At 51.0% G+C, this 26,221-nt stretch overlaps 1 protein-coding gene and 1 pseudogene across 1 annotated transcript in view, besides 3 other annotated features; both read left to right on the top strand.

The window, feature by feature from the left end:
• The window catches only part of SHB (SH2 domain containing adaptor protein B), a 153,330-nt gene extending 127,774 nt beyond the window's left edge, over positions 1 to 25,556 (top strand). Inside the window, exon 6 of the mRNA NM_003028.3 lies at positions 21,450 to 25,556. Within this exon, the coding sequence (NP_003019.2) occupies positions 21,450 to 21,633 (184 nt within the window). The 3' untranslated portion in view covers positions 21,634 to 25,556. The remainder of the gene's footprint in view (positions 1 to 21,449) is intronic.
• Positions 4,686 to 4,747, top strand: RNU7-124P (RNA, U7 small nuclear 124 pseudogene; annotated as a pseudogene).
• Positions 17,643 to 18,254: an enhancer, noted in NCBI's record as "H3K27ac-H3K4me1 hESC enhancer chr9:37923197-37923808 (GRCh37/hg19 assembly coordinates)". NCBI's record gives its function as "activates a minimal SCP1, AML or CMV promoter by ChIP-STARR-seq in naive and primed H9 embryonic stem cells {active_cell/tissue: H9 hESC(naive and primed)}" and the evidence as "EXISTENCE:reporter gene assay evidence [ECO:0000049][PMID:30033119]".
• Positions 17,848 to 18,142: an enhancer, noted in NCBI's record as "tiled region #877; HepG2 Activating non-DNase unmatched - State 17:Gen3'". NCBI's record gives its function as "activates a minimal TATA promoter and a strong SV40 promoter by Sharpr-MPRA in HepG2 cells {active_cell/tissue: HepG2}" and the evidence as "EXISTENCE:reporter gene assay evidence [ECO:0000049][PMID:27701403]".
• Positions 19,001 to 19,100: an enhancer, noted in NCBI's record as "active region_28405". NCBI's record gives its function as "activates an Ori minimal core promoter by ATAC-STARR-seq in GM12878 lymphoblastoid cells {active_cell/tissue: GM12878}" and the evidence as "EXISTENCE:reporter gene assay evidence [ECO:0000049][PMID:35858748]".
• Positions 25,557 to 26,221: the final 665 nt, after the last annotated feature.

Genomic DNA, 26,221 nt, shown 5'->3' with positions numbered 1-26,221 from the left:
TCTTGAAACCCAGCTCCGCCACATACTAACAGGGTAGTGTTGGGCAAAGGGACTGAACATCTCTGAGCCTTGGTTTTCTCATCTATAAAATGGGTTTCACAGGTGTATTAATGAAGACACAATATATGTGAAGTGCTTAGCATATGCTCCAGCATATAGTGAGTGCTCTATCAGTGGTAGCTCAAATGTCTTTATTATGGACCTCAGAGAGCCACGGGTTGTTGGGGAAAGAGCTCGGTGTGTCCCAGTGCATTGCAAATTGTCTGGGTTCAACCTGGAAGTCTCCATCTGTGCCCACATCCACTGTCCTTTACGATGATGGGTTCTAGATTTTATTGGCTACAGCTGGAAAGAATGCTAGAGAATCTCACAGAACTGGAGTCCAATCCAGGCTCCCCTCTTCCTGGATAACCTGTCTTGAACCTCTCACCTCTCTTGCACTCTGTACGTTGTGCTTTGGTGTGACCTTGGATGAATGAGTGAACTTCTCTGACCTCCTAGTTGCTCATCAGGAGCTGGAGATGATGACCACTCAACAGGTATCCTTTTTCATCACCATGCTGCTGCCCCTCCAGCTCTCCTGCCCATCTTCCGAACTTGTGGTCTGGCCTCCTCATCTCATAGGGAAGCATGTTGGCAGCCAGTCAAGGTAGCAGCTCCAGGAATACCCTAAGCAGAAATCTTGGGGTTTAGGGAACAGAAAGAGACTTTTTCAATTTTCTGGTCCAATATCTTGAACAAGTGGAGATACTGAGGCCCAGAAAGAGGAAGAAGCTTGCCTGCCTCTGGCTTTCCCAGCAGGCAAGCTGTTTGCTAGCAGCATTTGAGCCAGCCTGAGTCAGGGCAGCAGGGGTGGTGGGGGAAGAGGGGGTCTGTCTCTTTGCTCTTATCGCATGGAGGATTTCATGTCCTTTCAGGGCTCATGGAGGAAAAATGAACTTTCTGCTCAATTAGCGTGCTTCGTGTTTTCTCCTTCTAAAAGGTTTAAAAGAAATGCCACAATTAGAAGCCACTGCTGTAGGCAAAACAGAGACTCCTCAAACACTCTTTGCAGAGGACTAAATGAGAACAGTGAACTTTAGAATGTGCAGATGCCTTGCAGGATAAGAGAGTGCACCATTGAGGGGACACTGTGAGGAATATTAGATGACATTTCCCTTTATTCAGAATTACTGAGAAAATGTGCCCTGCTGGTGGTAAAACATTGCCAAGGACGCCACCCTCAACATTAGACTGGCACCTCTTCTGGACTCTGAGCCTGGTGCTTTGGTGATTCTGGTGCAGTGGGGGTGGAGAGTGTAGGAACAGCCCTGGGCCTATGCCCAGGAGACCTGGGTTCAAATCCTAGCTCTGCCTCTGACAAGTTACGGGATCCCAAACTAGTCACCATGATTTGCACCCTTCCTTTCTGAAGGGTTCAGACAGACCCTAGTTTGAGTTCTGCATATTCTCTGAGCCCTCTGTTTACTCTCTAGCACAGCAAGTGTAAATCCTGCCCCGCCACCTGCTCTGGGCTGCTGTAACATGTGAGTGAGGTGATACGGGTCAGCATGCCCAGCACAGGGCCTGATATTTGGGAATAGCCAGCTTTCACACTGTGATAGTATGTTCAAGAAGAGTAGCAACCATTGCCATCATTTTTACAGATAAAGAAACTGGTGTTCACATTACGTCACAGTTAATGAGTAAAGAGATGAGATTGCAACACAGCTCGAGGCCTCTTTCTACCTTGTGGGGTCTCTCGGAATAGAAACACCCCCATTCCTCCCTAGCAGGCCCTGAGAAGCCCAGCCAATGGCCAACTAGTTCTCTGGACCAAAGCTGGATTTTCTGACAGGACCTGTGACCATGAGCCCTGTGCCCAGCATTTCTCAGACCCCTTTCCCCAGGCAGTGGTGACATGGAGAAAGCCCAGAGACCTGAAACCAGAGGGGCTGGTTCTGAGCCAACAGTGTCAGCATCCATGACCCAAATAGAAGAGTCTAGTTTCTTCTCTGGGTCCAGCCCTCAAGGAGCTGTGAAGAAAGCGCAACTCATTGCTCCTACTTTACAGAAGAGGAAACAGAGGCTCAAAGGGGCTTAACCTGTCTTAAGGCCGTGTTGTCAGGGAGGGGCAGAGGCTGAGCCTGCCCAGCTCCTGGACCACTGTTCTTTCCTGACCCTTCTCAGCCATTTGCTCCAGCTAAGCTTAGAAGTTCTCCATTTGCACTCAGGTGCTAGGCTGATGATGCTGAGACTATCTGGTAGCAAACTAGGAGGCCAAGGCCAATTCAGAGGGGCCAGTGGCAGGCGGCCTACATACCTGATGAGAGAGAAGTTTAGGAAGCCCTATCTGGCCCTGGGTGTGTGATATAGATCAGGAGAGAAGGACTAGGGCAGTGGGAGTAGAAAGGAGAGGTGTGTGGAGGTAGAATTGATGAGAGGGAGGAGGAGTGAGGAGTCAAGGACCACATCCAGATTTCGGAGCAGCTGGGTGGATAGTGGCTCTCCCGGCTGCAACGTAGACCTGGAAAAGACCAGGAAAACAGACTCCCTGCAGCTCAGCTTCCCCCTTCCCAATGCTGCCTAAAACGCAGAGGCAAGAGGTGCCTGCTCTCATTCTGCCTCACTCTGCCAGTTCACGGCCCAGTGCACCACCCCCCAACCCGGCAGTGCCAGACGTGCCCGTCAACAGGCTGGGGTTCCCTCCCTGGACTGCTGCGTCTCCCGTCTGAGCCAGGGATGGAGCAGTGCCCTTTGTTTTACCGGAGCTCCTTGGTCTTCTCCAGCATCTGAGCAGCCGCGATTACATTTCCAGCCGGTTTTTAATTGTCTCGTATCAGCCCACATAAATCTGCCTGTGCGGCTCCGCCACCAGGGAAGCATTCCAACTGCCCGTCTGTCTCCAGGAAACCTCTCGTGCCCCGGGACAGTTGCCTTCTGAGGCATTGGGTGGTCTCTCCAAATGAGAAAAACATTTCTTTCCAATCACATTTCTAACATCTTGTTAATTTGAATTATTTAACAATATTTTTGCAAAAGCCATCTGGGAATGAGTTGGTTGGCGACTTGGGAGAAGGCATAGAGGGTGCTGCAGGGAAGGCCACGAGGACAGCTGCAGACGTCACATCTGCTATCAGTGAAAGGGTGGCTGCATGGAGAGGAAGGCTGTGATCAGGAGCCCGGGGATTACAGCCTGAATCCCACCATTCCTACCAGCCAGGAGGTCACCAGTGAGTCACTTCCCGTCTCAGCCTCTGAGCCCTGAGGCCCAGATTTGCAATGGCAGTGGAAGCTCTTGTAAACTCTGAGAGGCTGCACAGATGCAGGTAGGGTGGTTTGCAGAGCCTTTGTGCTGTAGGGGCTTATTTTACTGATAGCTGGGTAAGCGATACAAAGGCCCCACAGGAAACATGATTGGCCCTTACCTAGAGGCATTCGGTGGGGCTTGAAGCAGCTAACTTCACGTGGTAAAATCCCAGTGTTAAGGCAGGGCCTGACTGTTCCCCAGACTTTTGGGGAGTCAGAGCCCAAAGGGAGTTGAATCATCCAGGTCAAGACCCTGGTGGGGTCAACTGAGGCACAGGAAGGCAAGAGGACCTTCCTGAGGTCCTCTGGAAGGCTGCTGGTAGAGCCCCCAGAAGTCCCAGCTCCCACCCCAGGGTTATCACCCTTTGGAGCCCCGTAAGCACTGTATATTCTTCTCTCATTTTCTCCACAGACATTGTCAGTCCTTGAGGCAGATTTATAAAATCAGATGTCAAATTTTATAGCCCTTGTCTTCGCTCCCGCAGTTCAAATGCTAGGGCTATAAAATGAGGTTTTGTTGTGTATGCGGCACACTCGCACGCAGGCGCCCTTGCCCTCTGTTGGAGCAGAGGCTGTTCCATCCGCGGGTCTATGTCTTTCACCTGCTCTTCTCTAGGAAGCTCCCCTGTGAGCAGCCTCCATCCTCCTTCCAGCACGAGTGTTTGCCACTTTTAATAATGCTTTGCTTTTTTTTTTTTTCTTATCTTTTTAAAGATTATTTCACCCAAGAGGAATATCAGAAACAATTGGGTTTGGCAAAGCTAGCTTATTCCAAATGCTTTAATTAAAACCATTTTTTAATTTTAATTTTATTTTTGCCATTTCTTTTGGAAAATCCACACTCTGCTTATGGCCTCAGGCAGCTTGGAGATCACCCTGCCACGTTTTAAGCACAGGCTTTCAGGGCGGAGCTTATAGACAAGTCAGCAGCATGGCTTTCACCACTGAGCTCTTATCGTGCCCTGGGCTGTCAGCTGGGTGAGGAGACAAAGACATGTCAGCCTCTGAGCTCACAGTCCAGACAAGGAGACAGGACAGTAGGGAAGTACTGTGATGTACAGAGGTGTGGCAGAAGACAAAGCGAGGGAGAAAGAAAGTAAGTCTGACTAGGGGCATCTTGGAAGTCTTCCTGGAGGAGGGGCCAGTTGAGGAGGACTTCAGATGTTAAGATGTTTGAGAGGAGAAAACTGGGGAAGTTATGGGGAAGCAACAGGACATTTAAGCAACAAGGACATTTAAGTTGGAGATTAGAGGAAAGGCCGTATGCAGTGTCCTTCCTCCCTAAGGTCCCAACTTGGCTAGGGTAGCTGGCTGTTCAGTTTTCCCTTGGAAGTGACAGAGCCTCTCTCTGTTTTGTAAAATGTCACCCAGTTTTTGTTTCCAGTTTGAGGTGCATAAAATGTTACAGCTCTTCTAGAATTTGTCTAGCAGATTTTCCAGTTTTTACTAGAAACCCCCCAGGAAAAAAATCTAGGTACATAAACCCTGGGACCTTGCTTTCTAAATTTGCCATCTAACATCTGATTTTGACCCTCAGGGTTGTAGTGTGAAATGATTTGTCATCTGCTAGGAACCTTTCTTGGCTGAGCGTTCTTTGGGAATGTGTCTTTTGGTCTCAACACCCCAGAGGGCCTGGCACATGATAGGTACTCAGGAAACGTTTGGAGATTATATTTGGGAGAAAAGTAATCACAACATGCAAAATGAGCCATGATTGTAATAAAATCAGATTGCAAAGGTCAGCCCAGTCGGTAGCCGTATATCACATGCATGTACGCATGTGTGTGGGAAAAATATAGGAAGGCACTATGCCAAATTGTGATTAACCACTGTCTGTGGTGATGAAATGGCAGGTTTTTATCTTCTTTTTATTTTAGATTTGTGTTTTCTGGATTTTCCACAGTGAATCTCTTTTATAATGGTGTTTTGTTTGGTTTTGTTTTGTTTTTTGAGACAGAGTCCCGCTCTGTCGCCCAGGCTGGAGTGCAATGGCGCTATCTCGGCTCACTGCAACCTCTGCCTCCCAAGTTCAAGCAATTCTCCTGCCTCGGCCTCCAGAGTAGCTGGGATTACAGGTGTGCATCACCACGCCCGGCTAATTGTTGTATTTTTTTTTTTTTTTTTTAGTAGAGACGGGGTTTCACCATGTTGGTCAGGCTGGTCTCGAACTCCTGACGTCAGGTGATCTGCCTGCCTTGGCCTCCTAAAGTCGCCCGGCCTATAATAGAGATTTTTTTTTTCTTTAATGAGGCAGAGCAGGAAGCTCATTGGCTATGGAGTTAGGAAACGCATTTCTGGTTCCGGCTCTGTCTTGAGATTTTCTTTGTAACTTCTCTGTGCCTCAGTTATTTGGGGGTACTTTAATTGGCTCAGTAGAGAAAAAGCATAGAGTATCGTGGCTAAGAAGGTAGACCACCTGGAGCCAGAATCCCTCCCTGGTTCAGATCTCGATTCTGCGTCTTACTAGCTGTATGGCCTCCATTTCTGCATCTGTACAATGGGGAGAGTAATAGTTCCTACATCTCAGGATCGTTGTGAGGCATAAATGCAATCGTGGTCCAGGACCACGATTTTGTACACTCTGAAGCCCTAGTCAGCTCTCTCTGACTCCCCACAGCAACTCACTTTACGCTGAAGGAGACGGGCTCAGAGAGATGAGGGGCTCACCTGTGGCCATAGCAGTGCTCTACATCCCAGCCCTCCATCCCTTCAACAACTCCCCACCACTTCCCAGTCTGCCAGAGAGCAAGCCGTGTGCCCGTCATTTCCTCCTGGCACTAAAGGCGTATGCCCCACCGAGGCCGAACACAACCTCGCAGGGAGAAATGCATTTGCACGGTGCCGGGCAGGCTTTTCTTAGCTCCTGGTATAGCTTGAACAGGCGTCTGCAGAGTGTTCTCAGAGGCAGGAAGAATGATGCCAGTAACAGTGATTAGAAACTCGAGGCAGTGTAGGATTCTGACACATCGATGGTAAGATGACTGAGGCAACAAACGCAGGAGATGGTGTGACCCGGACACCCACATTTCAGACTCACAGTCTCCAAATATTCGCATAACTCCATGTTGAGTTCAGATTTTCAGGCTAGGAAAATACATTTTCCTGTTCTGAATTGTTCCAACCCTAACCAAAATGTCATCTCTGAAGAAGCTAGGGTTGCCTGTTTTACTTCTGTGGGATCTGTGTTTTCAGGAAGCAATCAGTTCCTATAGTAAGTAACTTTGTGGAACTCAATTACTTGCAGACGTGCAGGGGGAACAAAAAACAGCAATAATTAATGTGGTCAAACCCAAGCCAAATAATAAAATGAAAGCTTTGTTGTCTGTCAAGGCAGAAATCAATTTCATTAGGGAGCAAAGAGCCAGAGATTTAATTTTGAGAAAATTCTCCACCCTGTGGAAAGAGGTTGTCAAAAAGCTGCCAGAATGAGTGTCCAACATGAGAGGATTTGCCCCCCAGAACCGTGACCACAAAGAGCTGACAGTGACCTTTGAATGTTCCATTTCCAAACCTTCCAAGTGTGGCCAAAGCCAGTGGGCTTTTGCTTCTTAAAATTCTTGGACCCAACTGTACACAGTGGCTCACGCCTGTAATCCTAGCACTTTGGGAGGCCAAGGCAGGAGGATCACTTGAGCCTAGGAGTTCAATACCAGCCTGGGCAACATAGTGAGACGAGGTCTCTACAAAAAAAAAAAATTAATTAGCTGGGCATGGTGGCTCACACCTGTAATCCTAAACTACTCAGGAGGCTGAGGCAGGAGGATCACTTAAGCCCAGGAGTTAGAGGTTACAGTGAGTTATGAATGTGCCACTGCACTCCAGCCTGGACAACAAAGCAAGACCCCCATCCTTTCCCACCACAGAAAAGCTCTCGGCCCCATGCACCTTTTAGGGTGCTCAAGAGATGAGTGTTACTATACCTGATGACACTTGCATGTCAATAAGACCCTGTCTCTTGGGACTTGGGAGGGGCTGGGAGAGGGGGGGACTCAGGAGGTCCGCAGACCCCAAAAAGGAGTTCAACCGAAGCTCAGGAGTGTCTGTGTTAATGATGGAGTTGTGTCCAGCCAGAAGGACTGATGGCCAAGCTGGACAGACCCCACGGGACCCTGTTTAGTTGCTGACTCCCGCTGTGTGAGAGATGGTGACTGCCTGGGGAACGGGCAGCAGAAGCGACCAGGATGGGAAAGGACAGGAAATTCTGCCCCAGGGGCACAGCTGGAAAAGAGTAGCCCGGGTCTTCCTGTCTCTGAGGGACCTTCACAGGGCAGAAGCAGTGGCCTTGGCCTGCAGGAGCTAGAGCTCGGAGCTGGGCTAATCTCAGCAAGCTGTAGTTAGCCACATTTCAGCTCAGGACATGGAAGAACTTAACCACAGGCAAAGCTGTCTGTTTGGAATGGGTTGTCTTGGTGGGGAATGAGCTCTCTGGTGATGGTGGTAAGTAGCAAAGCTGGACAGTAAATATTGCGGATATTACAGAGGAGTTTCCATCATTAGATGGAACTAGAATGATGATTCTCAAACTTGAACATGCATCAGAATCTCTTAGAGGGCGAGTTTACAACAGATTTTGCTTGCAAAGAGATCCAGGGGGCCACAGGCTTAACAAGTAAGTCTCTGGGTACTGGTGGACATTCTAGGACACACTTGAATAAACTCTATTTTTTAAAAACCTCCACTCCACTTCCAGCCCTGGGGCTCCATGGTGTCTGTAATGAAGGCGAGTCCTTTTGTTTAATATCCTTCCTTCCCATGTGGTATGAGCATCTCCTATGTGCCAAGCTTCAAAGGTTGTCTCTTCATCATGTAGATGGGGAAACCAAGGCCTGAGAAGGCAGAAGCCAGGACCCCAACACCCAGTTCTGAGCTCTTTACTTAGCTTTCAGTGGACTTCAGGGAACATTGTAAACTATTCTCTATTTCACAGATGAAGAAACTGAGGCCTAGATTCCCAAGAACTATTGGGAGTTTTTCCACCAGGAACCACGGTCATTCATATAATTTGCAAAAGGTCCTTGGCAGGGTTTCTGGGTGGTTCCCAGTCAACCCGATGCCTTTGAAATTCCAGGGAGGAAAAACCACCCTCAGGTTAGATGCAGTGGCCTTTGAGCAGGCAGATCTGTCTTAATTTGCAGTTTTAAAAGGCCCCTCTGGATTTTTTTTCTTCTTTTCAAATAAAGTTTATTGTGTATAATGAAGATATACACCATGATGTTATAGAATACATACAGATAGTAAGAAGGTTACTAAGAGCTAGATGCAGTACCTCATGCCTATAATCCCAGCGCTTTGGGAGGCCAAGGCAGGAGAATTGCTTGAGCCTGGGAGTTCAAGACTAGCCTGGGCAACGTCGTGAGACCTCATTACTATAAAAAGTTTTAAAAATTAGCCAGGCATGGTGGCACACCCCTGTTGTCCTAGCTCCTTGGGTGGCTGAGGCAGGAGGATTCCATGAGCCCAGGCATTTGGGGTTACAGAGTGAGCTGTGATTTTACCACTGCTCTCCAGCCTGGGCGACAGAGCAAAACAAAAAATGTTCCTATAGTGAAACAAATTAACATATCCCTCACCTTACATAGTTACCTTTTTTTTTTTTTTTTTTTGTGGCTAGAGCAGCTAACATCTACTCATTTAGTATGAATCCCATATGAAGTACAATTTGTTTATTACCTGTGGTCCTCGTGTTGTGCATCAGCTCTCTAGACTTGTTCATCCTGCATGTCTGCTCTTTTGTACCCTCTGACCTACATCTCCCCATCTCCTCCCCACCCTGCCCCAAGGACCCACTGTTTTTTTCTCCATCTCTACATATTTGAATTTGTTTTAGATTCCACATGTAAATGAGATCAATCATACAATATTTTTCTTTTCTTTTTTTTTTTTTTTTTTTTTGAGATGGAGTTTCGCTCTTGTTACCTAGGCTGGAGTGCAGTGGCGCGATCTTGGCTCACTGCCTCCTGGGTTCAAGTGATTCTCTAGCCTCAGCCTCCCGAGTATCTGGGATTACAGGCACCCGCCACCATGCCTGGCTAATTTTTGTATTTTTAGTAGAGACGGGGTTTCATCGTGTTGACCAGGCTGGTCTCGAACTCCTGACCTCAGGTGATTCACCCACCTTGGCCTCCCAAAGTGCTGGGACTACAGACGTGAGCCACCACACCAGGCCATATACAATATTTTATTTCTGTATCTGGCTTATTTCACTGCCCCTAATGTCCTTCAGGCCTATTCCTGTGTGGTGAATGACAAGATCTTTTTTAGGGCGGAATAGTATTCTGTCATACATACACCACAGTTTCTTTATCCATTCATCCTTGACAGACCTTCAGTTGTTTTCATATGCTGACTGTTGTGAATGGCGCTGCTGTAAACATGGAGTGCAGATGTCTTTACAAGATGGTGATTTTACTTCCTTTGGGTATATGCCCAGAAAAGGGATCGCTAGGTCATACTGTAGTTCTACTTCTAATTTCCTTACAAAGCTCTTTACTCTTTTCCATAATGGCTGTACCAATCTACATTCCCACCAACAGTGTATAAGAGTTTCCTTTTTTCCGCATCCTCGCCAACATTTGTTATCTTTTGACTTTTTGATAATAGCCATTCTAGTGGGTATGAAGTGATACCTCATAGTGGTTTTGACTTGCATGTCCCTGATGATTGCTGATGTTGAACACCTTTTCATATACCTGTCAGCCATTTTTTTATGTCTTCTTTGGAGAAATGTCTATTCAGGTCTTTTGCCCATTTTATAATCAGGTTATTTGTTTTTTCACTATGGAGTTATGTGAGTCCTTTATAAATTTTGGATGTTAACCCTTTATCAGATGCATGGTTTGCAAATATTTTTTCCCAATCTGTAGGCTGCCATTTCATCTTATTGTCTCCTTTACTGTGCAGGAGCTTGGATGTAGTCCCATTTATTTATTTTGAGCTTTTGATATGATATCCAAAAAAATCATTGCCAAGGCCAGTGTCCAGGAGCTTTTCCCCTGGGCTGTAAGAGTTTTATAGTTTCTATTTTTATATTTAGGTCTTTTATCCATTTTGAGTTGATTTTTTGTGTGTAATAGAAGATATGGGTCCAGTTTCATTCTTTTGCATGTGGAAATCTAGTTTATTAGCACCATTTATTGAAGGGATTATCTTTTCTCCATTGTGTCTTCTTGGTACCCTCATCAAAAATTAGTTGACCCATATGTGTTTGGATTTGTTTCTGGGGTCTCTATTCTGTTTCACTGGTCTATGTGTCTGTTTGTATGCCAGTATCATACTGTTTTGATTACTATAGCTTTGTAATATAATTTCAAATCAGGAAGTGTGATGCCCCCAACTTTCTTTTCTTCTTCAGCATTGTTTTGGTTACTCAGGGTCTTTTATGGTTACTCAGGGTCTTTTATGGTTCCACATGAATTTTAGGATTGTTTCTTCTTTTGCTGTGAAGAATGACATTGGGGTTTTGATAAGGATTGTTGAGTTTCTCATCTTTACTTTTTTTCTTAAATAAAACTAAGTTAGATAAGGTGCTTTGTGGATAGTGAGTCCGCTTCATTGCTGTGCTGGTGAACACCCTTGGTCAGTTGGTGAGGAGGCCCCCACCAGGGTGGGCCAGGAAGAGACTGGTGAGGGTGAGCACTGTGCTTTAGCAAGAGCAAAGGTCCATGGGGTGACTCGGGATGAGAAATGAGGAGCAGGGGGCATTGCTGCTTCCTTCCCCTCTCCCCTCCCTGCATGTCCCCTCCCCCTGCCACATCCCCCACCCCAGCTTGTCACACCCCATTACTGCAGACTCTAGTCTGCTGGTCTTGCCAGAGAATCCTCCGCAATAGAGGCATGGGGCAGGGGCTGTATTGCGGAAAGAGAGCAAACCTCTGCCCTTCTCTGAGCCTCAGTGTCATCTGTAAAATGATGACAGGGAACCAAATGATCTCAGAGTATCTGGTTGGTGTCTTGTCTCCCTCAGAAATGTTGCATTTAGAGCAGTGCACACAGTAGACACTTAATAAATGCCATTGACCATCTATGACCAGTTTCCTGTTTAGTTCGTTTTCTGTTTTGTTTTTTGAGACAGGGTCTCACTCTGTCGCCCAGGCTGGACTGCATTGGTGTGAACACAACTCACTACAGCCTCAGCCTGCCAGGCTCAAGCAATCCTCCCACCTCAGCCTCCCAAGTAGCCGGGACTACAAGCGTGTGCCACCATGCCCGGCTAATTTTTAAATTTTCTACAGAGATGAGGTCTCACGATGTTGCCCAGGCTGGTCTCACAAACTCCTAGGCTCAAGAAATTCTCCCGCATTGGCCTTCCAAAGTGCTGGGAGTGCATGAGTCACCACGCCCAGCTTCCTTTTCTCTTTTCATGTGGATCCTGTGTGCAACAGTGTGCCTTAGAGACTGTGGTGAAAGAACACTTGATGTTTCAGGAAATCGATCTCAGGGCAGTAAACGCCTTGCCCCGTGTCATCCGGCCACAGAGCTGGGCCAGAACCCAGGTATCCCACCCCAGCCAGGCAGGCTGCCCAACTGGAGGAGACGCTCCTGCAGCCACATCCATGGCTTCTGGGCTGCCAATGCAGCCGTGAATGACAGAGCAGACGTATGGGAAACCTAGCTCAGTGCTCAGCCCAGACAGCACAGAGCCAGCCAGGTGCACCAGACACACCAGACAGGCGGCCACTGGTGCAGTGGCTCCTGCCCAGCAGATGAGAACAAGACCCACGCCAGGACCCTGAGTCCTGCACTGGCGTCAGTATTTTCTGAAAGGCACTGTTCTTCATTTAAAAATTTAAAAATGCATTAAGCTGGAATCTAGTGCCAGCCCCCTGTTTCACGTCATGCTTATCCGAGGGGCCTGCCAAAGAGTGCAGATTTGTACCCAGGTGACCAGGCTCCAACGACATCCTGCATACTCGGCGGCACCTCCGCACCTGGCGAGCCTTGCTTCCCTGCTGTCCAGACCTCAGACTACCCTTGTGGGTGAACAGTGAAAGCTCTACTTCCCAGATGAGGACCTGAAGCTCAGACCAGGCACAGTTCAGGGCAGGGACTCAGATACAGGTCTGGGTGGCCCTGAGCCTGGGCTGCGTACAGCACCATCCTCAGGCACCCCAAGGCCCACCCCCCTCTCCAGCCCTGCCTGGGTCAACCCCAGGGCGCTGGCCCCCTTTGGGCTATAAAAGCCATTGTGCGCTCCAAGTCCTCCCCTCGGCAGCTGGGGCTTCCCCCGAGGCTGCCTTGGCCCAGCCTCTGCATGGTCCTGCTCTGGAGTCTCCTCAGATGTGGTACATCTCCCACCATGTGCTGCTCAGGTGGGACTAGGGGGTCCTGTCCTTGGAAACAGCCTGGAGCCCTCTGGAACCAAGCCATTTGGCAGATTCCGCTCTGTGTCTTACACCTTTACATAAGGGGCCAGGCGAGCCGGGATTCGTCAGACGTTCACACTTCATGTGGAGGTTCTCATCTGCCCCTCACCACAGCAGCAAGGGTGGACTCTGGTTATTCCCATGTTGTGGATGCAGAATTTGAGGCACTGGCCGTCTAGCGAGTGGTGTGGCTTTAGCCTAGGCACTGTGGGAAGCTGGGCTACATTATTCTTTGTTGTGGGGGCTGTGCTGTGCGTCGTAGGGTATTTAGCAGCGTCCCTGGCCTCCTCTTACTTAGATGCCAGTAGCACCTATGTACCAAGACATTGCGAGTATTCCCCAGGGAAGAGGGAGTGCAAAATTGCCCCAGGTAGGAGCCACTGCTTTAAGGAGCCTAAGGGCTCAGATAGCCTTGTCCTCAGTAGGAAGAGATCACCCTTGGCCTGGATTCTGTCCATCCTGTTGGCACAGGCATGAGAAGCCTGCTTTTGTCATTTTGCTGTCCCCAAGCCCAGGATCCACTGTGGCCAGTGTACCCACCTGTCTCCCTCCATGAGGGGAGCCATTCTGCCCTGCCTTGTTCCTCCTGCTGTGGTGCTCCCACCCACACTGGCATGTCCGTCACTGACTTGAGAACTCAGCACTGAAGGGATCCCCTCCAGCTTTTCCAGAGGGAGACGCTGAGGCCCAGGGGGAGGGGACTTGCCCAGCCAATGATATCAGTGGGATCAGACTTTGAACTTCCTCCCTTTGGGGAAGCGCCCAGGGCTGAAGAGTGGAGAAAAATAATTTCCGACACACAGGCCTTCATGTTCCTAGAAAAGTCCTCAATTAGAGGTAGAAAAAAAAAAAAGAGAGAAAGAGAAAGAGAGGAAGGAAAGAAAGAAGCCCTAGACCCTGTTTCCCTTTCCTGAAGCTTTGGCAGCATTTCACCATCCCCCTCCGCTTCTGCGTCCAGCCCTCCTTGCAGTTTCCACGTGCACTTGGCTGAGGCTGGTGGGAACCCTGAGGGGGGACTACAAAAGGCATCCAGCGGGATCCACCCACCAAGTGTCATTGCCTTCCCACTTACACACCCCTGGTAATGGGAGGCTTACTCCCTCAGTCTGAGCGCTCATCATTTAAAAACTTCTTGTCTAATAATGTGTTGGTTTTCTCATGAGAAAAATTGCCCAAAATGGGTTCATTTTGACATACCTACTGCTTTGTGTGCTAAAACGAGCCTTATGCCTCTACATGTTCGCCAGGAGAGGCATCTGCCAGCTCTCCTGCCTAGAGATGGCTTTTTGTCATGATTTACTGAAGGCCTTCACCCTGGGCCACCAACTTAGAGCTTGAGAAATGCCCTGGCGTCTCGGGTAGGCTAATCGCTGCTGATGCGTCTATTGAAAGTCTAATTATTTGGTTGTAAATCACGTCATTTTGCTCAGCAGCGTTTACATTGAGACGTTTGTTCACAATAACTTGGTGTGTGTGTCTTTGGCTTGTCACTGTGAAGGCTGCTTTGGAAGCTGTGGGCAGGATGCAGGTGTTGGCCACGTGGCCTCCTAAGCTCCTTTATCCCAGCTGCCTTGACTATTAGAACATCTCAGCTAGAAGGAGCCTCCATGCCCCCTGCCCCACGCCTCAGACAGCTGGAGAAACCAGTCACACAGTGAGATGCACTTACATCCTGGTCCCCTGGCTTGGGAAGCCCTGATAGCCTTGCATCGTGACTGGGCAAGTTGCTTCTCCCTCAGACCCTTAGTCTTCTCATCTGTGCAGTGGGTATCTTGCATATAATGCCAGCCCTCCCAGCTTCCTTGGGAGGCCACAGGTTAGTCCAGTCATGGACCAAGGGAGCATTTAAGGTCTTCTCAGCCATGCCAGAGGTAGGCCAGGCCCTGTGTGAGTGGGATCTGCCTGGGCTCTGGGTGAGTAATTGGACCACAGAGGTGGACTGTTGAAATATTTGCTGTGGAGAAGCCACATCTCTCACAGTGTTGGGGCAGTGTCTGTAAGGAGGTAGCCCAGGTCCAGGCTACAGCTCTCCATGCATTTGGGATTGTTGGCTTTCTGCTAAGATAGCAGGGCCCTCTCTTTGCTGAATGCTGTACTGAAACAGTGGCCTAATTCTCTTCAGAGATCTCTACCGCCTCTTTATCTACCACACATTGAGGGAGAACGGGGTCGTGTGTCTGCCTGGCAGGCGGGCACCCACTCTGGCTCTGTGAAGATTCAATGGACTTGTGTTCAGTCTCACTTCTCGCCTCAGTGGCTGCATAGTCCCAGGCCAGTCACTTGAGCCCTCTGACTCTGTTTCCCCACCTGGAATCTGTAGGCCCATCTCTTGGTGTTGCTGTGAAGAGGTACATAGAGCTCTTGGCAGCATGGCCACAGTCGGTAAGATGGGTAATGCTGTGCTTCTCGAATCTTCTAGCACTAGTGTTGCTGAAGTGGCTGCATCCTGCTCGCGGGTGTGAGGAGGAGAGTTTCTTTAGAGGCATAGACCTAGCAAAATGTCCCACTTCCCTGGAGGTCAAAGAGGCGGCAGGAGGAGAGCAGAAGTTGTGAGTCATAAAGGCACTGCTTTCAAGAGGCAGAATTGCCATCCTCAGGGTGGGGGTGGGGTTATGGCAGGAACTACCCATTTTGCAGGCTTGTAGGTGACCACGGAGGTACCTTGCCATGGTCACCCTCCATGCTGGCTCTCACCCACATCACAGCAGGTTAGCATTAGAGCTGGGCCTGACTCCCTTCAATTCCGCACAAACTTCCCTGTTTGCCTCCACCCTGTTGGAAGCAAGTACATGTCTGTGGGGGTGGAAGGGCCCTTCCCCATGCCAAGCATAGAGGCAGTGCTCCCAGGGATCAGAGTGTGAGCACTCGCTGCCCTGCTCCCCAAGGCCAAGGGACCTGCGACACCTCCCTCACCTGAGAATTATCTGGCAACTGATGGTTGAGTGCACTTTAAATGCACAAGCTCATTCTGTCTCTCCTTCCAACAACCTGGCCCAGGAATCTTCGCACAATGTAAGATTTAAATGTTTAAAATGGCCCAACAGCTTTGTGCCACATTCTTTGGGGTAATGGAAAATAAAGTCATAAGAAAGAGTAGGGGTAAAAAATAGCAAAATAAAATAGCCCAACAAGAAGAAAAGACGCAGCCACTTAGAGCCTGAGTAGGGAGGGGCAGGGCCAGCGCTCACATTACCCCTTCAAGAAGACCATGATTTTGCAAGGGAACTTGTCTCACTTTCATGTTTTATTTAGGCCTGGGCAGGGGACACTGGGCGGCTGAGTGGCCTCAGGAATAAGTCCTTTCCAAATCCTAAGGGAAGAGGGCTCTGGTGCATTCTTCCCTGTGGCCTCCCTGGGGGAGACTTTCTGATTTGAAAAGCGTGTGCCTGTGTACTCACCTCATAGGGATGACCCTCCGGAAGCTCCCCAGTCCTTCCCACTCTGCCAGTTCTCACTGGCTCGTCCTGGGACTGTTGCTGACTGGAGAAAGCATCCACTGTATCCAGCCTCAGAGTGGGCAGCTTCTCCCTTTGCTGGGCTGCAGTCAGGGACAAGGTCGACCAGCCACCAGCCTGCCCTGGGAAGCTTACGTCTGGAGGGGAGGATGCATGGGGCCTCATTGCCCCGGCTCTGGGCAGACCCTGGTGGGCGGGTGGATGGATGGATGGATGGATAGATGGGTGGATGGGTGATGGGCACAGTGCCCCAGCTGTGTGCCAGGCATGTATGTGTGCCCAGAGGCCAGAGGGGGCTAAGGCTCAGCCTGCTGAGAAACATCACAATGGGCTGACAGGATTCTTAACCTCCAGTTCTCACCAAGCTGCAGGGAAGCCAGATCTTGGGGCAGAAAGAGGCCAACGGGTAGCTGAGCAGAGGAAGATGAGGCTGTGGTGGGAGCTTCAGGGCCTTGAATGCCAGGCTTTGGAGTTCAACAAACATAGGTTCAAATCCTAGCCCTACCATGTCCCATGAGACACAATTTTCCTGAGCCTCAGTTTTCCCATCTGTAAACAGTGATCATTCTAACAACTTAAAGTTGTTTGCTCTACAGTTTAAATGAGATAATATGTGGCAACAGCTCAGCTCAGAGCCCAGTACCCAGTAGGGGCTCTTGAAGTACTGGGTGTTGTTATATCTGTTTTGGCCATGGGGAGCCTTAGATGGTTTTGACCTGAGGGCTAATGTTCTGGGGACATCTGGGTCAGGACAGCAGCTCCCCATGCACCTTTCAAGCTAAGGTAAACCAGAAATCCCCTCTGTGTCTGGAGTCCTGTAACTGGGTCCCACACATTAGTCCCAAAGGCCAATTTCCATCCTTCTCCTGCATAAATATTATATGCAAGTATTTTTAAGTCATTTCATCATGAAAAGAAGCGATTTAACATAACTATTACCCAGGATTCTTCATGAAATATGCATCAAGCAATTAGGTCTAAAAGCGAGAGGTGAGGCCTCGCACCCTGCTCGGCGGCCGGCAGCTGCAGGCTGAGTAATGTTTTATTAAAGCCCGTGATTGCGCTGCAAGGTGGGGCCTGTTATTAGCCCTGCGTGCCCGGCACATTTGATAATCCTGATGATGAGGAGGTGCTTTTTGTGATGATAATGAGCGATCTGAACGCCTGTGACAGCTCCAGCACCCCGGCCTCTGCCAGCCTTACAAGACTCATTAGACAGGTCACCCACCAGAGACACCTCTCATTGTGACTTTGCCCTCGCAAGATGTCCTATCAAAGGAGATGTGGCTGATGCAGGAGCTTGGCAGGCATAGCAGCCTGTTGAAGCTCCCCGGGGGCAATGCCCTCCCTGAACGACGATGGTGCTGATGACGGTGCCGAGGTGTGGAAGCCCATGCTGCCTTGAAGAAGGGTGGGAGGAGATGTGGCTCGGAGCCCGGCTCAGCTGGCTCGGGATGCGGGGCCGGGGCTCTGGGTTCACCTGCAGCCTGCCTTGCTGTGCGCCTTGGGCCAGGGTAGTGTACTCTCTGGCCTCAGTTTCCTCCACGGTACCCCAGGGGAGTGAGAGGTGACCCCCAGGCTGCTTGCAGCTCAGAATACATGCTGCCTGGAGCAGCCATACTCCTTGCCTGATGAACCCCTCTGTTCTCCACAGAAGTGCTCATGCTTCCTTTGCTCATGCTCGCGTCTCCTTTTGTGTGAAGGTGGGAGTCACTGAAGCCACTCCTGGCAGCTGCTTTTAAATCTTCAACTGTTAGATGGCATCTCCCTCATGGGGACCTTAACCAATGAGAATGTATTGTCACAGCATGTCTCCTGGCTGTGTGTGGACAAGGCGTCACCTGACCCTTGCATTGGTCGAGGATTGGCAGATAGTCTCGGGACCTCGGACCCCTGGGGGGGCGGTCACCACCCTGCCTCTCAGGCTGGGGGGCTCCACCAATCAGAACATGCCATTTCCAATCCTCGGCACAGCCCCTTGTGTGGGTGCCACACATTGTCTTTTACTCCCAGCCCCTCTGCTGTCTCTGACCTGCCGTCAGCCCTGCACCATGGGCGCTGTGGAGGCGGAAGATCAGCGTGGAGGGGATGTTTGCTCAGAGTCTGACGCCTCTCATCCGCCCCCTCTGCCTGGCTTCACATGGAACACTGAGGGTTACATGAGGCCCTCTCTCAGGTCTGGGGAGTGCTGAGGTCAGGAGCACTGACTCTGGGCATCTGCTGCTGATAATCACTGTGTGACTTTGGGCCAGACACCTCCCCTTTCTGCACCTCGGTGCTTCAGGACATAGAGCCTGGCCTACAGGAAGGATTGTCCCTGAAGGCAATCCTGGCCAATGCCCCAGTGAAAGCAGGACTGGGGATGAGGGCAGCGGTGGAGGGAAGGTGTGAGGCTGCTTGCAGACCCCTTCCTGCAGGAAGCCCTCAGCGGGTAGGCAGCAGATTATGTTTTGCACATGTGGAATCCAGGATCTAGGGCTGGAAGTACCCCCCAGGGTCATCTAGTCAGCCTCCCTGTGGATGCAGCAGGAGAAGGGACAGAGCCCAGCAAGGCACAAGGATAGCCTGAGGGCCAGGGAACCCACGGGGTGCAGTGCTTGAGCCCAGGAGGGTCAGCATGTGAACGCGCCTTTCTCCCTCTGCCTGAGAATGGTCAGGCCACAGACTAGAGGTTCATGGAGCCCAAGTGCTGGTCCCAGCTCTGCCTTGGTCTCTGAGCTTCATGACCAGTCTGCCCCATCGGCACAGCCTGGCTCAGGGTGGTAAACTCGTGGGTGCTTACACAGGCGAGATAGGAGTGTGTTGGGGGTGATAAACAGCAGGCTCAGACAGGCAGGAGGGACTTCCCGGGGACGTCTAGACTCTCTTCAGCCTGGCAGCTGCCCCACCTCGCTATCTGTCGGCAGCCAAGGTACAGAGGACATTGTGTGGCTTTTAGTACTTGGTGGCCATTCTAAGCCCCTAACCTGGGAACAGAGGAGCTTAGCTTCTGCTTCGGACTCTGTCAGAGCCATTGCTGCTATCACTGTCCACTTCCCTTGCCAGATGCCGTAGAACAAATTCATATGAAATGTTGCCTTCACCCATGTGAGTTACTCTCCTAACCTTGAAAATGAAACTGGCTTGTTCCCCTGCAGCTTCATACCTGCACACTGGCAGACTCAGTTCCCGCCAGCGGCTGTGACCCTCTGCCTGACACCTCCTCCACTCTGTCCCCCAGGTATAGATCTGTGAGAATCACAAAGCCTGCTGGTCCAGCACCCCAAAAACGTAAGGCCACTCAGTGCATGCACGCAGAGGGGAATGATGTGCCCAGGGTCATACCCTCCTCCCTGCTGAGTGTCCCTGGCACCTGCAGCCCCTCCTTACCAGCCCTGCTCTCTCGCCCTTCCACACCCCTTCTCCAGGCAAAGCTGGGCATGTGGCTCTGAGAGCTCAGCTTTTTAACTCTTCTGCTGTTTTCTCAGCCACACAGTTTCAGCGCATTACTTAAGCAATCACAGCCCTTTCCAAACTGGCACAGATCTGTGGTCTCTTCGGCGTGGTGGGTAGGTGAGTCTTTGCTGGAATGGAGTTTTACATTCTTCTTGTAACACACATGCCGTTTCCTTTCTGCAGCCTAAGCGAGTGCGCCGCCTGCTTCTCAGACGTGTCTAGGCAATTCTCCGATGAAATGACCCTTCACTGAGGAGCAGAACTTGCCACAGGCTCTGTAATTAGAACATTGCCAGCCTTAAAAAAAATCTTGATTTAAATTCCAGTTCTTTACAGGAATTAGTCTCTCTTGAAATGTAATTGGCTCTCCCAACGATTTCCTTTAAGCTAAGGGTGACATCTCTAAATACATTATTATGAGCAGACATATTGCTTAGTGCTCGCACTTCATTAAGCATTTGTTCTGCCCATTTAAAAATGGTCCTGGAGCCCAAATTAAGGTGTTAATAGAGTGGGCACTTGTAAGCTTGGGAAGCCCAGTCCTGACTGGAAGAGATGTGTTCAAGCCCTGAGAGCCCCTGTGGGAGCGACAGCGGCTAGGGGCGGAGCTGGAGCGGAAAGGCTGCAAACCTTCAAGTCTGCTTGGAGCTCAGGTTGGGGGAGTCTGCTGGAGGCCGTGGAGATGGGGGCAGGTGATTTGTCAGAAGCTCCAGCTTTCTACCTAAGGGACAGACACCCGATAAAGTGGACTGTGCTTTGGAAAATCTAAAGCATCCACACGTCTGGTGGCAGAATCACAGTAGAATCATAAAAGGCGTGGAACTGAGTGGGCAGGCAGAGGACAGGCTGGTGGAGGGGTGAGGGATCCAGTGTGGCTGCAGCCCTGGTGAGAGCTGGGAGAGGTCTGCTGGGGCTAGGCAAATGCTGGTGGGAGGACTGTGGCTTTGGCCCTCGTGAGCTGATGCAGGCAGGCTGCAAGGGCTGTGTGCTCTGATCTCTGAGAAACCCACCCACTGCTTTTCCTTGAGCAGACTTCAGGTGGCTCCTCCCAAGCAGGTCTGAAGCCAAGCATGGTGGACATAGACTGGGCCCTGCTCCATGGCATGCTCAGAGGAGCCGGGATGGTGGCTAAGTACCTACAGTTCAGGAAGGCATGCGTGTCCTCAGTGCCACCAGATGAAGGAAGGAGCTCTGCCTGTGGGAGCCTGGAAAACCACCCAGCAGAGGCAACACAGGCTGGACCTTGCAGGAGACAGGGTTTATAAAGAAGGGCAGGTAGTACAGACTTTCTGCCCACCTTCCAGTGGCTAAGCCAAGTCACATGGCTAACTGCCTGCAAGGGAGGCTGGGAAATGTAGTCCCTGGCTGGGTGGCCCCTTCCCAGTGACAGTTTCCTACTACTGAAAGGGAAGGACAGATCACTTGCCATCCCTGCCACACAGTTTCCTCCTCTGGAAACTGGGGGTGATGACCCCTGCCCTACCCACTTGTCATGGCATTGGGGACATGAACACACTTTGCACCTGTCAGGCAAGGCTTAAACAGGGATATGCACTGGTAATAGAAAAGAGGGACTAAGTTTTGTTTTGTTTTGTTTTGTTTTGTTTTGTTTTGTTTTGTTTTGTTTTGTTTTGTTTTTCTGAAGAAGTCCCTAGAAGCGCTCAGTGTTGGAATGCTCTCTTGTAGCAGTGGCGGCTGCTGCTGGTTCCGGGTCAGATGCCGGAATTGGGGGTGCGCTTGGGTGCAGCTGCATTTCATCTGGTCCTGGGCCTCGGTCCTGGCTTGGAGAGGTGCAGCTCACAGCCACTTCATGGCTGGGATCCCTTCTGTCCCAGACAGCTGAGGAGACCCTTGGCCTCAGCCTGAGTGTCAGGGGGGTAGTTCTGATAACTCTGTGTTTTGTTCACAGGAGCAACCAGGGTTTTATGCACATGAAACTGGCCAAAACCAAAGAGAAATACGTTCTGGGTCAGAACAGCCCTCCGTTCGACAGTGTCCCGGAAGTCATCCACTACTACACCACCAGAAAGCTACCCATCAAAGGGGCTGAGCACTTGTCCCTCCTCTATCCCGTGGCTGTGAGGACCCTGTGAGCGGACCAGACCTGCCCTGCTCTGTGACAGAGCCTGAGACTTGGAGGTGCCAGAGGCCCCCCACCAACCAGCCCAGCCACTGTTGCTGGCTGTGTCGTTTGTGTTGTGTGTATGGTACTAGCACACCACTGCATGTCTCTAGAATGCTGTTGCCACTTACGGGGGCTGGAGAAGGCCTGGATAAAGACAGAAGGGCGGCAACACACCACCCCAGCCCCCACCCCCACCCTCTCCTTGAGTTTCTGTGAATTAAAATATTTGCAAATCCAAAGAGATGCCTTCCAGGATGAACAAAGGCAGACCAGCTCCGAGGGGCGGGGTAGGGTGGGGCGGGAGCTCCCTGGCTGACATCTCTTTGTTCTCCAGCTGTCTCAAATTCACACCTCTGTACAGGGCAAAGTTTTCCCACAGGAGCCCCCCTACTGATGCTGGGAGCCAAATGCTGGTGCTTTGAGAGTCCCGGAGGCCCCGGGGTTCCCGCCCCGCTGGTGTGTATATGTGTGTCTGTGTGAGTGTGTGTGTGAGTACAGATGTGAGAAGGTGGTCACACACAGATGGGTAAGCCCACTGATCTACTTGTAGTCACTCAGTGTAATCATTAGGCTATCTTCAAGGAATCATTGTGCAGTCAAAAAGAGGATTCAATTATTTATGAATAGGGTGTGTAAATAAAATAGTCATTTAATATATAGCCTTATCCTTTTTTGATATACTGCAGAGGGTCTCTGAGGGGGCAGTTCTGGTTTCACTCCCAGAGCAAGGCGTGTCTCCTCTGGGCTTGCTGCTGTGGCAGGCCCCAGGGAGGGGAGGGAGGCCGAGGCCTCAGCTCCAGCCCTCAGCAGCTCTGGACACAAGAGCCGTCTGCTCTGACAACTGGGCTGAGGCAGTCGGTAGCACTCTGGGAGTCAACCCAGAGCTCAGAGTTCAGGCTTCAGCAGTGGACATAGTCAGGAGCCTCCAGTGTTGACCAAAAAACCAGTCTTTCCCTCCTGCAGTGGGACGTCTGTGTTGACACCCCCCCAACCCCTGGACACAGCACCCAGCTGGCTACAAAGGGCTCTCTCCCCACTATCTGTTAGCACCACCTGGGAGGTATTTGGCATGTAGGGAAAGGGAGACAGAGAAGGAACGTCATTTGCCCAAAGCCACACAGCTCACCAGCAGCAGAGCGGTTCTGCAGCCAATGCTCTTTCGTTGGTTCTGCATGGCCTTGCTGTCACCCTGCCCATGGAGGAGGGAGAATCCTGACCTCCCAGGGACATAGAGCCCTCAGTGGTCCACACTGCTTCCACACACAAGAACACCTACACACACACACACACACACACACACAGCCCTCAGTGGTCCACACTGCTTCCACACACAAGAACACCTACACACACACACACACACACACACAGCCCTCAGTGGTCCACACTGCTTCCACACACAAGAACACCTACACACGCACACGCACACGCGACCTCTCTCTTGCTTGCCATAGCAGGGTCCTCCCACACAGGCCAGGCAGCCCCGATGAGGCTAAGAGTTTCTCAGCTCTCCTGCTTTTTCCACCCACCCAGTAGCATGAAGATGTGGCTGCCCTCTCCTGAATGAGATACAAGGGTTCCAGAGCCTTCGCCAGGCACCAGCTGGTCTGAATGAACTAGAAGTTTGACGACTGTCATCCCTGGCCCACCTGGGCAGAGCACAAGGGGCCGAGTTTGAATGTCATCAGCAGGTTCAGACATCAGCGCTGCTCATGTCTTTAGAGACTGTTTGGAGGTGGTTCCAGCTCACTGTTCACATGCAGAGACACAGGCCCGGAGAAGGAGGACTCGCCAAGGCCACGTGTCGAGCTGGGACTGAGCCCTGCCCCTTTAGGTAGCTGCGTGGACTTCAGCGGTTTGTGCAAAGCCCTGCCCTTGGTGACCCGCCTTTAGTGACCAGTCTGCCTCTTGGGTCTTCCTCCCAGGCCTTGTCTGGCACGTCCACGTGGCCCAGCCCTCATAGAGACCACGCTGGCTGTGGCCTGGGTTTAATCTCTTAAAGAAGCCAATCCTTTCCTTGCCTGTTTGGCATTTCCTAAAACATCCCTCAATGAGGGAGGAAGGCAGGGACACCCTGGAACGATTCGTGCTTTCCTTTGGGGGAGTGGGAAGGTAGGTGGGAAATGACAAGATGAGTGAGGAGTTGGCACTTGGCCAAACAGAGGAGCCTGGACCCCAAGGCTTATTCTCAGAGGAGGCCCAAGAGAGGCTGAGGAAGAGGGGGAACAACCCTCCGGCGGGGGAGGAGGGTGAGACCTCACACTGGCAAGTTCAGGTCCAGCCACTTCCTGAGGCTGCTGGGTGGGGCCGCACCTCACGGTCCTTCCCTGTAGACCATCTTCCCGGGCACATTGCTCCTCAGAAAAGGCTCTGGGAGGGTCTCAGTGGAAGCTGGCAGCTGTGCCCTCTGGCCCTGACTTGGCCTCTTAGGGTATTCCTGGGACCCTCCCTCTGTCCCTGGCCTTCGTCTTCCTGAAGTTTCCCTGGGAGGCCCAACCTCCTGCCCCTCTCAGGGACAGAGGCCAGCAGAGGAGCCAGCTTACAGGATGGGAGCTGCTGAAAAGAATTTTTTTCCCTTAATTTTATGAACCTCTCCCTCTTCTTCCTCTAATTGTGACCGTTTCCTGTGTCAGCCTGTATTCATGTTTTCTTGGACATCTAACAATTGAAACAGCTTTTCCCTTTCAGAAACACTCACATTCAGGTTACTGGCTTTGGTTTGGTTTTTGTTTTGGGTTTGTTTTTTTTTTTTTTCATCTGCTGCCAATTAATTGGGGAAAAAATTGAGCTGGATTTCTTTGAGAGAAAAGAAAAGCTCCTGCCACACAACGTCGCGCCCTCGGCATTTTGTCTGAGAACCTCCAGCACTAGCGGCTGTTTCTGTGTCTCCCTTCTTTGCTGGCTTTATTATTGACCATAATGCCTGCCCACTTGAGCAACTCTGTCCTTGAGCGCTGAGGAGTCAAGGGCCCTTCTGGCAGCCCCCCAAACAGGATGGCGCCCACAGAAAGAAAGGAGGCTTTGTAGGGGAAGAGGGCCCCACCGCCTGCCAGTCCCGTCCTGAAGTCAGAAGAATGGCCCAGGCTGACACCCTCTCCTGGAGAGAGGCTCACAGCGTAGCTGTTCCCAGGAAAGGGGTGCAAAGACTCCGAGGCTTCAGGAGGCAGGCCCTGTCCTCACAGGGCGGCTGTGGGCCGGGGCCCCTCTGTGGCCTGAGAGTGAGCAGGAGGGAAACCTGAAGCAGCTACCCGCAAGGCGTCCGGTCAACAGGGTGGAGCTGCAGGCTCCCTCTGCCCATTCCCAGAACCAGCGGCCCCCTTTGTAAGATGCTGAACACGAAGTTCCGGTAGCTCCCCAGACGCTGTCTCAGAAGTGGTGATATCATTGACCAAGGGCCTGGCAAGGACCGGCAGCCAGGGTCCCCATTTGCTCTTGCAGCCCTAGGGACTGTGCAGGTAGAAGCCCTGCCAGCAGAGCAGGCTGGCGTTTGGTGTTGGCCCACAGACACCCGTGAAGGGTCATGGCCGAATCAGGCAGCTGTCCAGCCAACTGTCTCTCCACCCTTCCAGAATTGGTGATCAGCGAAGACCAAATTCGGCAAGCCATCCAGAGGGAGTGCAGGGCGCACAGTCTTAGATGTGGGCGCACCTCCCAGAACCCCACGGGGACTTGTTCACAGGCGCGCTTGCAGGAGGGCAAGCCCCTTGGTCCTGGAACACAGGTGCCCCTTGGCCTTTCCACCTCCCTCCTTGGGGCTGTTTGCATCCCTGCCAGGAGCCTTAAACCAGCCACCTACTGCTGAAGTCTCTTGTAACATTCCAAATCTATGTGACACACTGTATAATGATGAATATTTAATGTGAAGCTCTTAATATACTACAAGTGTCTTGTTTACCATTTGTCTTTTTTTTTTCTTTCTTTTTTTTTTGAGACAGGGTCTTTCTCTGTTACCCAGCCTGGGGTGCAGTGGCACAGTCTCCACTCACTGCAGCCTTTGCCTCCCAGGCTCTGGTGATCCTCCTACCTGAGCCTCCCACATAGCGGAGACTACAGACATGCACCACCATGCCCAGCTAATTTTTCCATTTTTAGTAGAGATGGGGTTTTGCCATGTTGGCCAGGCTACTGGTCTCACTCCTGGGCTTAAGGGATCCTCCCACCTTGGCCTCCCAAAGTCCTGGGATTACTGGCGGGTGCCTGGCCACACAGTGTCTCCTTTAAATGCACCTCCTTGAGCATGCATGATTTTTGTTTGTTTGTTTTTTAATGCAGTCATGTGCCCCAGGAATCTAGCTGGACTGCCTTCTGCTTGCAAAAGCTGAGCTCTTGCCATCAGCTTCCAAAGGTGGATTGTTAAAGGAAAAAGCAACCTTTCTGCTTCCTAATTATGAGGAAGAGAGAGGCCTAATGAGCTCAATGGAAATAAATGAATTCGTTCAGCAGACATTCAGTGAGTACCTACTGGTCCTCAGGTCTGGTGGATACAGTGGTGAATGGGACTCAGCCCCTGCCCTCAAGAAGTTTCCAGTGTGTAAAAACAACCCAAGGAGCTGTGGGAT

Source organism: Homo sapiens, chromosome 9 (assembly GCF_000001405.40).
Source record: "Homo sapiens chromosome 9, GRCh38.p14 Primary Assembly".
Taxonomy (NCBI): domain Eukaryota; kingdom Metazoa; phylum Chordata; class Mammalia; order Primates; family Hominidae; genus Homo; species Homo sapiens.
This window is presented reverse-complemented; position numbering and strand designations above follow the sequence as displayed.